The sequence below is a fragment of the Homo sapiens genome, chromosome 6, assembly GCF_000001405.40.
Source record: "Homo sapiens chromosome 6, GRCh38.p14 Primary Assembly".
NCBI lineage: Eukaryota > Metazoa > Chordata > Mammalia > Primates > Hominidae > Homo > Homo sapiens.
The window spans coordinates 79,214,049-79,232,696 of record NC_000006.12 but is presented as its reverse complement, the minus strand read 5'-3'; the positions used below and the strand labels follow the sequence as shown (position 1 = coordinate 79,232,696).

Genomic DNA, 18,648 nt, shown 5'->3' with positions numbered 1-18,648 from the left:
CTTGCTGTTTATTCAAGGGCCAGAGCTGCTGAAACCATTATTCTTACTTCCCCTGTCTGCCTCTCTCAAGGAGACGGAAGGAAAAAAAAAAAAAACTAAAATAACAGTAAAATTACAGCTACAGTTTTATTTCCCTGGAAGGCAGGGAACCCCCATGCATAAGCTAGCCAATGGTCCTGAGACTAGGGGCAAAACTGTGTACAGGCACCTGTGTGTCATTCCTGAGGACATCAGAGTGTTCTCCGGTGATGGAAAACCTCTCCTTGATTAATAGGAAGGCTTTCCATTTATACCTGAAGCCTAACGACCTCAGTTGGTACCTGGGCAGGAACAACCTCAGATTAAACACGGCGATCATGGCCATCCATCTATCAGTCAAGTCTTAGAGCAGCCTCATGGAATCCTGAAGTTCACTGGAACTTATGTGAGGAACCACTGTCATTAGGTAAAGCCTGCTTAGATACAAAAAAGAACTGGAGACAATCCATGCATAGCTCTTCAAGATCTTCAAAGCTGGGGTAACTGCCAAAGCATTTACATACTACACAATATTTTTCTTGACTAAAGAATTGTCTGCTCTACAATATAATAAGCTTTTAAAATGTCCCCCTAGTACTTTTTTGCCTTCTTAGCCCCCTGTATCAACCTTTCCTAGAAATCAAGAAATGTTATTTAATGAACATCTGAGTAAGTTGTTCTGCAGAGCAAGAAGTGGTACAGATAAAGTCAATGAAAACATCTGGAATCCTAGCCCTGTTGTAATGCTGTAGGGACATACAGTTTTTGCCCTCTTGGAACTTGTGTTTAATTCAATGAGGTGATAAGACTAGCAGCACAAAACAGTTGAATAACATTAAAACTGTGTATGTGTTCCAGAATGTGTAGTTATAGATCCCACAAGCAGTAGGACAGATAAGGAAAGTTAACTTTAGGCTGGTCTTAAAAGTGTGGGTAGGACTCAAATATACAAAGAAGTCAGAGTCATTTTTTGTTACCAGGTATTCAAGTGTGTCTCCTGATTGTATCTTAACATGACCAGGCCTCAGTTTTGCAACTTCAGGGCTATAATATCATCTGAATTAATATTAAAATGTTCTGATGACATTTCTTTGTAAGTTTTATGTGTATCTTTGTGTGTGATAGTCATAACTACATTAAGCCAAGTGGTTTTTTATAAATGCCATAGTATTTTGTGAAGTAATACAGCACTTAGTGAAGAGTTCTTCAGTGCATATTATCTCTAAGTTTGTGAGATGTAAATAAAAGTGAGTTTCCTGTATTTTTTAGATAATGGATGGTGGGTGAGTGGAATTACAGGGGAAATGATAACATTCATGGACTCAGTGGTGAGACAATGAGTGATTGAGTTCTAGACTGTTCTGGCCAGACATCCACAAATGCCCGCAGTGGTCATGTTGTTATGTGATGATTTGATGTTCTACGAAGAGACATGAGCCAGCGAGGCCTAGAGTCACAGTCCTGGCATGATTAGCGACAGGAAACACATTTTTACCTCTTTCTTTTTATTAATATTTTCCAGTTCCTTATCACTAGAACTATTTTAAATGTCTAGTGTATCACATCAGAAATTCTCTAATGAGGCAATTTTCCATGAATGTGGCATGTAAGCAGTCATGTCTCTTGACACTTAAAGGTTTAAGGAAGGAAAGCCCATCTGCCTCTAGCTTTGAAACTCAAAATTAGGTTTTTATCTGTTTCCTTAAAATGGAAGGCCCAGTAGCAGTAGCATTGGGCTTATTAGCACAGGGGATGCTTAACTAACCATGATCAAGGTTTGTGATAGTTAATTTTGAAAAGAATATTACTTGTCATAACACCAAAAACAGAAACTGTAAATGAAAACACAGATAAATTTGGCTACATGAAAATGAATATTTCAATATGGGAAAAAAAACTGTTAACAAAATTTTTAAATTTATGAAAAACTGGGAAAAAATATTTGTACCACATATCACTGAAAAAGGTTTGCTGTTTTAAAAAGATAGCATCTCACATTTCCTTATGGAAAAGATGTATATCTTTATAGGAAAATAATGAAGACTCAAGTAGACAGAAATGTTTGGTTTTACTAGAAATCAAAGAAATGTACAATATTAAGAATAATGAGATGTAATTTTTAAAATAACCAATCTGGTTTAAAAAAAGATTAAAAACCTACTGGCTAGTGCTGAGGGATATAGACACTCAGCACTCTCAGTTATGAGAGTATAATTTCCTTTAAAACATTTATTGAGTATAATCTACTTACTATAAAGTCCATTCATCCATTCGAAGTATACAATTCAGTGATTTTTAGTAAAGTATAGAGTTGCGCAACCATTGTCATAATCCAGTTTTGTAACATTTCCATCATTCCACAAAGGTCCCTCATGGAGTTTATAGCCAATCCCCACTCCCAGCCTAGCCCTAGGCACTAATCTACTTTTGCTGTATCTAGATTTGCCTTTTCTGGAAATTTTATTTAAAAGAAATGATACAATATGTAGTCTTTTGTGACTGATTTTTTCACTCAGCATGATGTTTTTGAGATCAGTTTGTGTTGTAGCATATATCAGTACATCATTCTTTTTTATTGTCCAGTAGTGTTCCATTGTATGGATATACTCATTTTTGTTTATCCTTTCACAAGGTGATGGACATTTGGATTGTTCCAGGTTTGGATTATTATCAATAATGCTGCTGTGAATATTTGTAAATAAGTGATTGCATGGACATATATTTTCATTTCTCTTGGGAAGATTTCTAAGAGTAGAACTGGCAGGTGGTATGAAAGTCTATGTTTATCATTTTTTTTTTTGGAGGCGGAGTCTGGCTCAGTCGCCCAGGCTGGAGGGCAGTAGCGCGATCTCAGCTCACTGCAAGCTCCGCCTCCCGGGTTCACACCATTCTCCTGCCTCAGTCTCCCGAGTAGCTGGGACTACAGGCGCCCGCCACTACGCCCGGCTAATTTTTTTGTATTTTTAGTATACACGGGGTTTCACCGTGTTAGCCAGGATGGTCTTGATCTCCTGACCTCGTGATCCGCCCGTCTCGGCCTCCCAAAGTGCTGGGATTACAGGTGTGAGCCACGGCGCCCGGCCGTCTATGTTTAACGTTTTAAGGAACCTCCAAACTGTTTTCCAAAGTGCATGCGTTCTAATTTCAACATACTTGTTCATACTTGGTATTGTTGATTTTTTGCTTATAGAGATTCTTATGAATTTTAATTTATATTTCTGTAATAACTACTGACAATAAGCATCTTTTCACGTGTTTACTAGCATAATGTGTATCATATGTGAAATGTCTATTCAGATATTTTGCCCATTTTTAATTGGGTTGTCTTATTATTGAAAGAGTTCTTTATAAGTCTGAGATACAAGTCCCTTATCAGATATATGATTCGTAGATATATTCTCCCAGTTTGTGACTTAAAAATATATTTTTTTCTTAATGGTGTCTTTTGAAGAACAAAAGTTTTTAATTTTGATGAAATCCATTTAGTGTTAATATCTAATAAATATTTGCCTAATTCAAGGTTATGGATGTTTTCTCATAGAGGTTTTATACTTTTAACTCTTATATTTAGGTATGTTATCCATTTTGAATTAATTTTGTGTGTGGTATGAGGTAAGGGTTTAAATTCATTTTATTGCTTGTAGAAATCCAATTACCTCAGCACCATTTGTTGAAAAGACCATCCTTTCTCTACTGAATTGCCTACGCACCTTTGTTGAAGCTCCTTCATAAATGTAAAACTTTATTTCTGGACACTCAATTATGTTTTATGGTCTGTATGTCGTTCTTATACCAGTGCTACACTATCTTGGCTAGGTGAGCAGTGGCTCACACCTGTAATCCCCACAGTTTGAGAGGCTGAGGCAGGAGGATCACTTGAGGTCAGGAGTTTGAGACCAGCTTGGGCAACATAGCGAGACGTCATCTCTACAAAAAATTTAAAAACTACGCTATCTTGGTATCTTGATTATTATGGTTTTATAGTAAGATTTTAAATCTGGTAATGTCAGTCCTTCACTTTTTGTTATTTTTTCCCAAAATTGTTTCTGGCTATTCAGTCTTTTATGTTTTCATGTAAATTTTAGAATCACTTTATACATTTCTACAAAAATAAAGCCTGCCATTATTTTGATAGAGATTGAATTGAATCTATAAATCAGTTAGGAAAGAATTGCTTTCTTAGCAATATTGAGTTTCCCAGTCTGAATATGAAAGGGCCTGACATCCATAAATGCTTGCTCCATTTGATTGAGTTAAATATTGATATGGAATCTATGTTTGAGTAAAGGCTCCAAAATGGCAGGGCTGTACATTTAATTATTCATTTGCTCCATGTTAAACATTCATTGGGCATCACCTTTATGCAAGATACCATCGCCTTGGGAAATTAAATGAAAAATTACTGTTTTTTTCAACCTGAATGAGTAAATACCCTTGTTTTTAAGGATTTTTCTGTCTGATGGGATAGGTAGAACACATAAACAAGTATTTATAATTCATGCCAGAAAGTGATAATGAGCCACAAGAGAAGCTATGAGCAGTGAGCATTCAAAGGTTTGGCCAGGCTGAATGTCCAAAGAAGAAACACTGCGAAAGAGTGTTGTTCAGTTAAAAGGGTTGGGGGTTATAGCTTTTAACCACCCTGTTGTGTTTCAGAAGTTGTCTGGCGCCATGTTTCTAAATCAGCACAAGTTATTTGATTGATTACCTATTTTTGATTTAATTTTGTTTTGTAATCCTAATTTTACTTTACCATGAAGTCATTCATGGCTCTGATCTTCCTTTCATCCCCCATAGCACCTAGCACAGGTAGTGTAAATATTTGTAGAACAAATTGATGAATAAATTGTTTTCAAAGGAAGGGAGTAATAAGTTTAATCATTTCATACTAAGTAGGTTTAATTATTTCATACAGTGGGAAAAACTCTAGTATGGTTCTGGCATTTGCTGTTTATTAGCTATATGATCTAAGGTAGCTTCCTTAACCTCTCCCTTAGCTGCTAAGTTCCTAATTCTCTAAGACTCAGTTTCCTCTTCTGTAAAATGGGAATAATGATATGCTCTGTTTCGTTGATTATGAGAATTAACTGAGATAGTGAATTCAAAGAACTTAGCCCAGTGCCTGATATGTGTAAAACAATCAATGGATGTTTGTTGTGATTATGAGATTTTTAATTATTAAGAGAATCACAGTGAAATAACAGGCTTCTAACAAGCACTAGGCCTCCACTTTGTGGGATGATAAATGGTGCACGCAGTGAGTAGTAGGGAGCCAGCAGATCCCACCCTGATGTCAAATTCACTGCAATTATAGAAATACATGTTTAATCACCAAATAACAAATGGAGTGTTTCTGAAAGAACAGAAGCTTTAATCTTGTGCATTTTTACATGGTTGATTTTTCTAATGGAAAAAAAAATGTTTAAAAATATCTTCATATAATGTTAAAATTCCCTTGGAAGATCAGGTACCAAGTGATCCTCTTTTCCTATATTTTTCTCCTAAAACATTGCTTTTGTTTACACCAGAGTTAAATATATTCCACTTTCCTGCAGGGTACAATTTGGAAATGGTGACTGAAATAAACACCATTTAAGCTGTCTGCCTTCATAGTACCTAGAGTGTTGAAATATGATGTTAGTCTCCTGAGTAATTTAAAAATCACTGTCGAAGTTAACAAACTAAATCAAAATGTTGAATTCCTTTTCACTGGTTACTTACTTATTGTACATTTCACTGTCTTCTTAGAAGAATTCAGTCAAATCACGTAGGGGTTCTTGGTCAAGCTATTTATTGAATCCAGTATTCTTCTACCCTGTGGGCATATCCAGAAACAGGGCTATTGAGATATGCCCAAGGCAAATACATATTCAGTCACACATAAAGTAAATGATATGCACATTCAGAAGTAGGAAGATAGAAAAATGGTTTTAAACTTCGAAATTGGCTCCAAAATTTAATATTTTAAGAGAAATGTCAGTAATTAACACAAATATACTTACTACTATTAAAATTGAATTAATATCAAAATCGAGCTATTTCCTGAATGCCTGGGTGTACCAGACCTGAGATACGTGTTTTGTATTCATAATGCACCTTAGTTTAAATAAAAATGTGAAATTATTAGAAATAAATGCGAGAGAAGTATATACTATAATTTCATTTTTCATTTTATTCTCACAACAGTTTAATGAAGCAATTTCATCTCACAGCTAAGAAAGAGGTCTCTTTCTATGAGTCAGACTGTTTTTAGCACTTTGCATTAATAATATTAATTCTTCCAACCACCCAGTAAGGTGTGTCCGTTTCCCGTTCTCATTTTACATATGAGAAAATTGAAGCACCAAGAGGTTAACAGACTTCCCCACAGCACCTGTGATAAGGAATGGCTGAGTTGGGATTTCACTCCTGAAGTCTGGCTGCAGAGCCTGTGATCTTAACCAGTGAACCCTGCAGCCTTTCTCAAACACAGAGGAAAATATTGGGATTTAGTGAGATTAACAAATTTCCTCTGGGTCACACAGCTAGGAAGTGATAGAACCAGCATTCTAACCAAGCCCTCTTTTACTCAGGAATTTTGCTGTTAACTATTACACCATAATACTTTCTGTATATGTTTATTTCTAATAACCACATGTATTTTTATTTTAACTACAGTGCCTAATGAATGAAACATGGAGGAATCAAGAGTTACGTAAACATGAGTGTTCATTTGTTTAAAATATCTTTATTACAATATAGGCTGGTGCCATGGTTTCTAAATGCCTGTTGTAGAAAGTTACCCAACAAGTCATTATTATTTGTGATCCTGCCCTAAGGCTGGCCTCAGGGTGCAGTTCTGTTCTTGGTAAGAGAGGAGCATTACCATGAAATCTTCTAGGTATTTCAGTAACTAGTGGACTGTAGGGTTGTAGACAAGATACACATATGCAGTTTCCTCACCTAAATATTGATTGTTTAGAGTATTAAAAGTCTGACTCTTTATAATTTTCTCAGATTCCACTGTGAACTGCTGGATTTGCTACTTCCATGATACATTGTCTTCATCAATTTGCTATATATAGAATAATGGGAATACTCCCTTGTGAACAGGAACATGTAAATACGCTTGCATATTATACAATATATTGAGGGATTTTAATGTAAATATTAAGCTGTCATTACTTAGGGACTGGGTTTAAAAAATAAGTAGATGCTTTTGTTTTTGGAACTCGTGAAGAATAAAAGCTTAATAGCTAGGAAAATCCACTGGACCTAGGACTGGATGGATTTTTATTTAGGTGTGCTAGATTACCAGTTGACTAATGTTTTATTTCAGATGTTATTTTTTAAATGTACAAGTGATATTTTAAAATTATATTTTGATTATTTTGACCCCATACAATGAAATACAAAATCTACCCTGAGAGGTATTGGTTTTCTTATTTCTTTTACTTTTTGCTCACTCTTTGTCTCTTTCTTAGGTGGAAACTGTGGGATGTTTTTATAATATTGGACAGAATTAGTTAAGTTCTATATTGTAGAAATTCATGGTATGAAAAGTAAGGCATGATGTATATGGGAGAAAACGTACCAAAGACGAAGTTATCAAAATGTGAAGCTTTAAAGGCTCCTTAAGTTCCATATGTATTTTATTTAATACATTTTTTAACAAACTATATTCTGACTACTTCTCATTGCTTTACTTTACCCCTTAATTACAATTTTTAATTTTATTTGTCCTAAGCAACCATATGTAGATCACATTACAGCCAGCTGATTAGTTTTGCAAAAATACAAGGAACATCATAACTGTGTTTACCATTTGCCAGAAGTTAATGTATGTCCGAGCAAACAGGAAAATAATAAAGTAACCATCTGGTAACATCTCTTTTAAGAGCCCTGTTATAACAATACAGAGACTTTGGTCTAGTGTGAATTCTGCCACTTTTTACCTCGGGAAGGTCACTTGACGTCTTGGAAGCTCTACTCTTCATCTGTACAATGGAAATATTAAGACTGTGCCCCTGTTTATCTCAGAAATATTGAAAGCATCAAATGCAACAACCATATGGAAGCACACTGAACATGTAAAGTACTACAAAAAATTATAGATGATTTGGTGTATGTTTTTGGTTTCAATACTGAGATAAAAACAACCAGATCCGTGCGTATGACTTTTTAAAAACCCAGAATAATACTAAAATTTTGTTCAACTCAACATAAACTATTTTTAATAGGTTATTGTTTGTTATTATTTCAAGAGGCTCATGAATGATGGAGAATAGGAAGCACTCCTTTACATATCATTTGTTCTTTGGCTAGGGCTACAGGTTAAAGCATTTCCCAAGCTGGAAGGCTTTTGCTCTTCTAGAATCCCAGATCTGCACCCAGTTTTGAAATTAAGAACACTTAACACAAACCACTTTGAATGGTGTAGTGGATAAGAGTATGAACTTTGAGCCAGCCTAGAAGAGCTGAATTCCAGCTCTTCTGTTAATACTTACCAGCAAGATTACCAGCTGACTAATCTTGGGCAAGTTATTCAACCTCTCTGGCCACAATTCCTAGTTAATAAAATGGATATAATCATGTTTTACCAACCTCATAAGATTGCGGTGAAGATTAAATCATTTCAATCATTGCCTTGCACATAATTGCAGTACACATCTTCATTATTCTGCTGTGCTCCTTTTCCTTTGCTTTCCTGATACCCCAGTGCTTGGCATTCCCATGATGTACACATGGCACTTCTATAGTGTGATAAATAAGTACACAAGTAGCTAAGTTAGTCAGGTGAGTGAGATCTTAAGGTCCATCTTAACTAGTTTTACTGGTGAAGAAACTCAAGTCTAGAGAAGTCAGGTGTGAGCCAGACTGGAATTCAGGCTTCTGATTGAGCCACGTGCTTTCTGCATGGCCATGTTTGTACAAAACCACAGCACATAAAAAAAAAAAAAGGTAACTCTAGTGAAAGGGACAGCTCAGACCAAAGAGGTTTAAAATATTTAAACTTCTTTCTTTTTTTGAGACAAGACAGGCTAGAGTGCAGTGCAGCCTCCACCTCCCAGGGTCAAGCGATTCCCACACTTCAGCCTCCCAAGTATCTGGGATTACAGGCATGTGCCACCATGCCCAGCTAATTGTTTTTTGTGGGTGTTTGTTTGTGTGTGTGTTTGTTTGTTTGTTGAGATAGAGTCTCGCTCTGTCACCCAGGCTGGAATGCAGTGGCGCGATCTCGGCTCACTGCAACCTCTGCCTCCCAGGTTCAAGCAATTCTCCTGCCTCAGTCTCCTGAGTAGCTAGGACTACAGGCATATGCCACCCGGCCCAGCTAATTTTTTGTATATTTAGTAGAGATGGGGTTTCACCGTGTCAGCCAGGATGATCTCCATCTCCCGACCTCATGATCCGCCTGCCTCGACCTCCCAAAGTGCTAAGATTATAGGCCTGAGCCACTGTACCTAGCCTTGTGTGTATTTTTAGTAGAGACGGATTTTGCCATGTTGGCCAGGCTGGTCTCGAACTCCTGGCCTCAAGTGATCTGCCCTCCTCAGCCTCCCAAAGTGCTGCGATTACAGATGTGAGCCACTGTGCCTGGCCTATATTTCCTTAATATTAAATATAAACCCTAATTATTGAATTGTGTGTATTTACACTAATAAAGTTTCACTGAACATACTGGCACACAACTTTCTTTATTTTTAGTTATCTTTTATATCTGATTGCAAGAGAAATATTTTCCCTGCAAAGTGGTCCTCAGAAAAGAGAGAGTTGCTATTTATTTCAGTTCAAAGTCTTCTAAAGAAGCGTTCTTAATTACTACTTTTATCTTGAACAATAAAATAACATTTACAAAAGACATAGTAGCCTGCAGTGACCTTAATCAATGTAATTTGAGTTTATAGAAGTCACCTGTTGGAATTGATAAGCCAAGCAGGGGAGGATATGGAAAATAAATTTAACGTAAGTTTGATTATTAATCCCATGAAGGGACCTCTCAATTCCAAGTATTGGATATTTAAAGATTACTTTAAAAGCAATGTAGTAATAGAGGATCCCAGACATACACCTACAGGATCAATGAAAAACAACCAAGCCATTGTTAAACATCGCTTGGTGGCTTTGAGTAAAACTTCCAGTGTCTGTTTAATGTGTCATAGAAGTATTTGAATTTAAGGAGACTACCTTTTAACTCAAGAAACCTTATAAGAATTTCATGGACAGTGCCCTCATTTGTGGAGAGAATTAACCTTGTGTTAAGTAGTTATGTGTTCATTTTAGCTGAAGAGCGACAGAGTTAGGTATAGGCACATTTCAGACCTTCTCGTGGTGTGTTATTTGAATTTTTTGGTGCCATAGTGGTTTTCTTTTTAACCAATTTAATACTGGACTGCTTTTTTCCCCAGCCTTGAGTTTGTAACTGAAAAAAAACAATAAAAGTAATAATTTTAAAACATTGGCCAGCAAATTAGAAAAAGATTATCTCAATGTAATACACTCCCTAGGTTAAAAGAAATGATTGTTGGTCTCTTTGCACTGTTATATATACCATCAGCTTTTCCTCGTTAGCATGGATAACCTAGGAGTTGAGATTGGATTTATTCTGGGGCTGCTGGCAAATGGTTATTTGAGTTTCATAATTACTGTAGGCCTTCAGCTAATTCGCTGAAGTCGTAAAACAATAGCCTTTGTCACTTAAACTCTTAGAAGTAAAACTCTAAGTAACTAAGAGCCTATGTGTACCAATGAATTTGTACTACATGTACCAATACATGTACCAATACATGTACCAATGAATTGGTACTACATGTACCAATGAAGGTTTTTTGGAAGTTTAACATAAGAAAGGTCCAACACTGTGCTGAAAATCCTGAGCCCTCCTCTTTCTTGTCTTCCATGGGCTGAAGATCACTCCTAGTGCAGTAGCGTTAAACTTCTCTGCCTCCTGCCTCTCCCTCAGTGTCCTTCTCCACACTAACAAAGCCACAGACTGCTGCCATCTAAAGCCGTTCCTAAGCAGCTGTTGAAAGGGTGTAAGGATTTTCTTACACTCTTCTGATACCTTCTTGAGTTTGGAGGGAGAAAATTGGGCTCATCACCCCACAGTGCCTGTTTATGTTGTGGTAAGCACTGTTTACATGAAAGAAGGTCAGCAAACCTTGTTGATTCTTCATGGATGGCCTATGGAATAAAAATTCCAAGTTTCTTCCCTTGGTTTCTGATAGGGACTGCTGGAAAGACTTAAGGAAAATACAGTTCTGATCCCTTCAGTACATTTGAGTGTTCTGCACATGCAGGACCCAGGCATCTTTGTGTAAAGAAAGAATGGGGATGGCACAGTTGGTCAGCTGTTGAAGGAATCCACACTCCCTCTGCCCATCTCGACTCCCACACTCCTTCAAGAGTTCTGAGTCCAGTGCCTTCATTATCAGTACAAATGAAGCAGTTATATTACATGTCTTGTACAGAAGAGGAGGCAATATAAACCAGATTGATACGATATTGAAGAAATAGAAAAAATGCTGTGAGTAAACCTAGTTATGTAATTTGTATTAGGGAGTAGATATGGTACTGTTTTTAATAGAGTAGGTTTGCTTTTAGTCTTTTTCTTCTCCCCAGTATGGATAATATTTTTATTTAGAAAAAAACATAAATACAGAGAAATCCAGGAAATAATATAATATACCTATTTACCCACCACTGAGAATTCACAAATTGGAGTCTTTTAAAAATCATTGTTCATTTCAGGCCTTTTTAGAAAATAAATTATTAAAGTTCAGTTTCCTTTGAAACATCCCCTTGGTTCCTTTTTCCTTATCATCCCCCCTAAAGATAACCATCATCACGAATTTGTTGTGTATTCTTCCAGTTCTTGCTTTTATACCTTTATGACACATCCATCCATCCATCCATAATATTGATTTGTGCATGTTCTAAAATTTGTATAAGTGGTGGGGCGTGGTGGCTCACACCTGTAATCTCAACACTTTGGGAGGCCAAAGTGGGTGGATCACCTGAGGTCAGGAGTTTGAGACCAGCCTGACCAACATGATGAAACCCCATCTCTACTAAAAATACAAAAATTAGCCAGGTGTGGTGGCACGCACCTGTAATCCCAGCTACTCTGGAGGCTGAGGCAGGAGAATCGCTTGAACCCAGGAGGTGGAGGTTGAAGTGAGCCGAGATCGCGCCATTGCACTCCAGCCTGGGTGACAGAGTGAGACTTCGTCTCAAAAAAACAAAAAAGGCAATTTGTAGAAGTGTAGTCCTGTACATGTATTACTCTGTTTCTTCCCTCTGTCACTTGTCATTATAATGGAAGGGTATACTATGTCTAGGTATATTGTGATTGCTGATTTATTTGGACTTTTTATGTTTTCTATTCTTTGTTTTCCTTTGTTTTTTACTTTCCTGCTTTTTATTGGTAAATATGTTTTATTCCACCCCTCCTGATTTGGAAGTTTATAGATCCTATTTCTGTTCTTACATTTTTTAATGGTAACTTTAAATTTTATTTTAACAAAGTCTAAAATTAATCTGTATCTGTATCATCCTCCAGAACAAAACCAGGACCATAGTATCCTTTAACTTCTTATCTACCGACCCCACTTCTATCTTTCATGATTGTTTTTGTCTAAAGCTGTGCTATATGGTAGCCATTAGCTGCATGAGTTTATTAAACACTTAAGAATGAGGAGCTGAATTTGTTATTTAATTTTAATCAACTTAAGTTTAAAAACTGATATTAGAATCAGCGATTGGTAAATTATAAATGTTTGGAGCAACCTGGGTAAAACTACTGTAAGTTTTATGAATTCTAAATACAGATTAGATGTTCCTGATAAAAATTTAGCATTTGAATAAAAATGTGTTCTAAGTATAAAACGAACACCAGATTTTAAAGATTTAGTACAAAAAAGTCTGTGAAATATCTCATTAATCTTTTTTTGCATTAATTACAGGGTGAAATAATAAAGTTTTAGATATAGTCAGTTAAATAAAATATTAAAATTAGTTTTACCTGTTTTTATGCTTTTTTAATGTGGCAATTAGAAAATCTAAAATTATATGTTGTATTTCTGTAGGAAAGAACTGCTGTAGAATTTCTGTTGAAACTTAAAAACACAATAGGTAATGTTGTTTACGATTAGTGGTTAATTAAATTTATTAGTATATTTTTTACATTTTTTTCTTACATAGTTTTCCTTCCTTCTAGATTTGTTTTTCTTATTACTAAATTTGAACCTTTAGTAATAGATTCTTGTTGAAAGAAATGCTTTGTTGGAAGTGAACTCTCTTTATGTTTGTATTCTGAAATGGCTTTATTTTGCCATCACTCTTGAATGATAGCTAGGTATAGAATTCTAGGTTGGCAGTTTTCCTCAACTCCTTGAATAGTACTCTATATTTTCATACATTTGTATTTGTTGTTGGAGAAGTAATTCTTTATAGGTAATCTGCCTTAACTCTGATAACTTTACAGATTTTCTCATTTTCCTTGATGCTTTGTAGTTTTATTACAATATGTCCTGTTGTATTATTTTGTTTGTTTTGTTTTGTTTTCAGTTTGTTCCTTGGTGTGAGTGTTCAATCTGGGGAGTCAAGACTTTACTTTGGGAAAATAGTCATTATGTCTTTGCCTTCCTACTGATACCTCTTTCTCTGCTTCTGAAATGCCTATTAGATAGTTGTGGAGCTTCTCAATTAACCACATCACCTAACCTCTCTTTTGTTCATCCTTTTGTTGTTCTTTGTTGCATTCTTAATTCCTCAGCAGTCTATGGCAGTTCCTACTGTGTCTGGTCTAGAGTTTATCCGTGTTTTGAGTTTTTTATTTCAATGAGCCTGCTTTTATTAGCTTCAAAATTTCTATTTTGTATGAATCAAAAACATTTTAATATAAAACATACATACGTATGTAGTATCTAAATAAATATTATTTACATAATAATAAACCACCATCTAGCTTAAGAAATATAACTCTTACCAATGACTTTGTCTTTCCCAGTCAAATTACCCTCCCTTTCCTCAGCAAAAGGTAACCTCAGTCATGATTTTGCAGTTATCATTTGTTATGCTTTTCTTTATAGACTTTTCTTGTATTTGTATTTTCAAACTTTATTTAAAATCGTGCCATGACTTCCCTTTTTTGCCCAACATTACGTTTGTGAGATTCATCTCTGTTGATGTGCACACCCGTAGTTCATTTGTGTTCACTGCTACATATTATTTGATTATATACCACAGTGTATATATCCTTCTGATGACATATGTTTAGGTCGTTTCTACTTTTTAATTAATTTTAGCTAAGTATATATTTTTTCAACATCCTTTTATTTTCATGCTTTCTATATCCTTGAGTTTTTGGTGTCTCTTTTAAGTATCATATTGTTGTATAAGTGTTAGTTACCTATATTGTTTATTATTTTTAAGTCTTAAAATCTAATTGAGCAAGCATTCCTTCCCTCCCCACTCCCCATTGTTTTCCTTCTTGGGGTGTGCCAGAAGGGATAAGAAACAAAGCCTAGGGCTGGTACAGGGTGAGAGCATACAGGAGTATCCTCACATAAGCAGCTTCCTTAAAAGGCATGAGAAACCAACAACAAAAAGTTAAAACGTCTCTTGCAGACGTGGATACGTGCATGAGACCTTTTTATTTGACCATGATTTGGGCCCTCTTGACCATTCTTGGTTCAAACTGGATTAGTGTAAGCCTGTTGTGTCCTGGAGAGTGGGGCAAGAGCCCCCTTTGCCTTGGCAGTCCCTGCATCCCGTCTAACTCTCCTCATCTTTCACATCCACCTGCCAGGAGGTTGAAGTACATCTGAGATCCCCTATATCCACCCCCAGCCTTTTGTTTCCCTCCTTTCTATGTTTTTATTCTTCGCAATCCCTTGGCACAAAAAGCTTTGGGTTTCTGTTTTAATCCCTTAAAACCATGCTCTCTTCCTTCCTGTCTCCGGCCTGTGGCTTAGTGTTAATTGATGGAGAGGGTTATGTGATAAGACAGCTTATAATGGTAGGTCTTTCCAAAATAGTCTACCTGTTACTCTGTGCAACAAAAACAGATAACCAGTTTGCAGGGAATCTGGATGTAAGGAAATGTGCTCAACTTTAAGGCTCTGTTGAATATAGTTTCATACTGTATAATTTAGAAGACTAAAGATCTTTTTTATTGCATAACCTCTGTGTAACAATTTACAGTTTATGAAATGCTTTCTCCAGTATCTCACTTGATCATAAGCAGTACCCTTTGAGTTAGCTGTCATTATCATCTATCATTCATGGATGAAGGAGACTGAGCCACCGTGATCAAGTCACTGTCCCAGATCGTACAGCTTCTAGGTATAGAGCCAAGATTCAAACCAGGTGTCTTGAGCTCACATCCTGCATTCATACCATTGTATCACACTGATCCCCGGTAAAGATTGATTGTTCCTGACTGCAGGTGTATTAAATGCTTGCTAATAGAAAGCCATTGTGGTAGATTGCCAGAGAAACGAGCTTTGCTAGCTCTTTACATCCAGAGCCTTATGTTCATTTGTCTGAAGGCATTCACATTTTCAGTGTACCTGCTTTTTTCATGCAGTGCCTTTCCAAGTTTCTCTTTTTTGAATAATTTGCATCCCATACAAACATTATTAGGTCGGTGTTTAGAGATTGAACTCCATCATATTGCCTGTCACTAATCCACTGCATAGAAAAATATGAAAATAATGTCATTAACATCAGTTTTTCTTATAATAGCTATGTACTGCTGCTTTAACTGCCTATCAATTATAGGTAGAGAGTACCCTAGACTGAAATCTACTGAGTGACCTGACAGGTCTGAATGAAAGCCCAGCACTCCTAGACAACCAAGGGTCTGTTGTGTGGCCAGAAGGGTTGAGTTTGTAGCCATGGAAGTGAGCAAAGACCAGTGGTCCACCTAGGAATTATCTTCATATGCTCAGACTAAGATTTTGCCATCTCTACCACAACTGACTGATTAACACAAGATCTATAAACGAAATATTCCTGTGCAAGAGAGTGGGGTACAAAAAAGAGAAAACTGTTTCTTCATAATTGAGAAGGTTCCACGGAGGAGGGGAGATGGTTAATTTGGAAACAAGAGAGAAATCCATGACATGGGAGGTTCTGGAAAGAGGGCATATGATAGGCTCTGGGTAACGGGCAGCTCTAGGGAATAGAGAAAGGTCACTGGGTCCTTTGCCTTGAAGAAAAGCTTTTATCTTTCCTAAAGACTTTTATATATACTTAGGACCTTTGTTTTGCGTACATTTTTATGACCTAAGTTTTTGAATTTAGCCTTATTTTATGTGGACTTTTCATGTATTTACATCACCTAACTTTTTAATTCCATTCACTGTTACATAAATATGTAAATAAGTAATAGTTTACTTAATCATTTCTCTATTATTTACTGATACATGAGTTGCTTCCACTTATTCCATATTAGAAATAGTACAAATAAAACCATATTTTTACAAAGAGTTTCTTTTTCTGAGTCCAGGTACCAAAATTAAAATTACTAGGTCATCATATTAATTCTCTGTGTCTTTTTCATATTGCCAAGTTGTTCTTTGAAACGATTATATTAATTTACAGTGTCACTAGCCTCAAACAGTGGGTTTTATGATCTCTTGAATTTTGTTCTCATTTTATCAGATGAGGCATTACCACATAGCTGTTTTATTTTGCTGAGCCAAACATCGTGTCAAATGTCAGTTTGCTATTTGTATTTTTTTCTAACAGGAGCTCTATTCAGATCAGCAGCCTATTTGTGCCATAGAGACTGAGTATTCACTTTCTAACTTTATGTAGTTTAAAAATGTTAAATAGTCTAGTTTTCTAAGTAGTTTAGTTGTTTTAATATTATTTAATAACTCTTAGCCAATAAAAAATATTGGGACATGTGCAGTGTCCAATAAATCCAAAGTACATTTTACTTTAAAATATAAAGAAAATATAAGATATGTTTTTCCCATAGTATACACATCCTTTAAAGGAATCAGGTTTGAGCTGTTACAAGAGGAGGCAGGTGCTGCCCCAGGGGATGGATCAAAACCTGGAAATAAATCAGCTGAGGGTGGCACGTAGCCTGGCTGTCATGCCAAGGCTGGGAGTTTAGTAGAGATGCTGGAGTTGATAATGGAAAAATGGTAATCTATGATAAATTTGTCAGTTCATATCAAGAAATGGGCTAGAAATCAAGGCTAGGCAAGGATGGGATGAAAATGTGCTTTTGTGGTTGGCCTGGGCTTTACCAGCATCCTGCCCTTATCTTAAAGGAATGGAGTGACTGGAACAAGCAAATGGAACAAGAGGGTGGCTCCCAGGCATTCCTGCCACTGACCTCTGGCCCCTGTTCTTTAACTGGAATCATCAAAGATAAATGAAAGTCGCTTAGGGTGAATGCACATTGAGAACAGGGAATCACATAGTTCTTTCACCATTTCTGCTTTAAAAGTCGAGCAGTTATGCAGCTATCTACCGTGTGTGTGCATGCATGCACGTAGGTGTGTAAAAGACATACCCTGTTGTAATTTACTTTTTCTTTGCAAAAAAATCTGTTGGCTTGTCTTGTCCTGGGAATGAGATAACTTTTTAAAAACATTTTTCTAATGTGTGTTTTCCAATTTAAATACAATTCACTGAAATATTTTCTTTCTAGTCTCCAGAGAATACAGAGGGCAAAGATGGATCCAAAGTAACTAAACAGGAGGTAAGTATATCTTTGACATCCTATATTTAATTATTTACATTGAAATGTTTAATATTGTTAGGATTGTCTGCATCTGAATGAAATGCGGACAATTGTATGAACAAAGTTTAATATGAATGATCAAGGTTGTTAAGACTACCTGAAAGAGCGATAAGTGTCTATATGTAGTCTCGCTTGGCCTAGGTGTGTTTCAGTTGGGTATATTGATGAGGCATTTTCCACTTACTGTGTTGTTTATGTTTCTACCTGTCAGCCCTGCTTTCTGTTAAAGCAGATACTGAGAATTCCTTCTGGGCAAAGAGTAAGATAATAGGTAAATTCATCAAGGAGAACAAAGTCTGCCTTTCACAGCAAGAAAATGAAAGACTGTTGATCTCATAAATTCTGTGCTCCAGTGAGTGGATTATAAGTCACTTTTTAGGTTCTGAATATTTTGCCTGAGAAGGATCATCTCTAAAATCAAAAACTATAGGCCGGGCGCAGTGGCTCACGCCTGTAATCCCAGCATTTTGGGTGGCCGAGGCGGGCGGATCACGAGGTCAGGAGATAGAGACCATCCTGGCTAACACGGTGAAACCCCATCTCTACTAAAAATATAAAAAGTTAGCCAGGCGTGGTGGTGGGCGCCTGTAGTCCCAGCTACTCGGGAGGCTGAGGCAGGAGAATGGTGTGAACCTGGGAGGTGGAGGTTGCAGTGAGCCGAGATCACACCACTGCACTCCAGCCTGGGTGACAGAGCGAGAGAGACTCTAAAAAAAAAAAAAAAAGAAAAAGAACTGTAGAGGGATACACAATATGTCAAAATATTAAAGCTTTTTTTTAAATTGGGAACACTCAGGATATTGGGATAATTAATTAGGCAATGATTCAAAGATGTTTTGTTTTAAAATTCAGAAACCTCCAAAAGTCTAGAAACTTGGAAG

The 18,648-nt window shown here is 36.4% G+C and overlaps 1 protein-coding gene across 9 annotated transcripts in view, besides 1 other annotated feature; it reads left to right on the top strand.

The window, feature by feature from the left end:
* HMGN3 (high mobility group nucleosomal binding domain 3) overlaps positions 1–18,648 on the top strand; it is a 33,438-nt gene that overhangs the window by 1,986 nt on the left and 12,804 nt on the right. For 8 of the 9 annotated variants that reach the window (NM_001318888.2, NM_138730.3, NM_004242.4 and 5 more), the window contains exon 2: positions 17,675–17,725. The exons of the other annotated variant lie outside the window; for it this stretch is intronic. In NM_001318888.2, the coding sequence (NP_001305817.1) occupies positions 17,675–17,725 (51 nt within the window). The remainder of the gene's footprint in view (positions 1–17,674; positions 17,726–18,648) is intronic. 9 annotated transcript variants of the gene reach the window in all.
* Positions 2,495–2,995: an enhancer, noted in NCBI's record as "H3K4me1 hESC enhancer chr6:79939419-79939919 (GRCh37/hg19 assembly coordinates)". NCBI's record gives its function as "activates a minimal SCP1, AML or CMV promoter by ChIP-STARR-seq in naive H9 embryonic stem cells {active_cell/tissue: H9 hESC(naive)}" and the evidence as "EXISTENCE:reporter gene assay evidence [ECO:0000049][PMID:30033119]".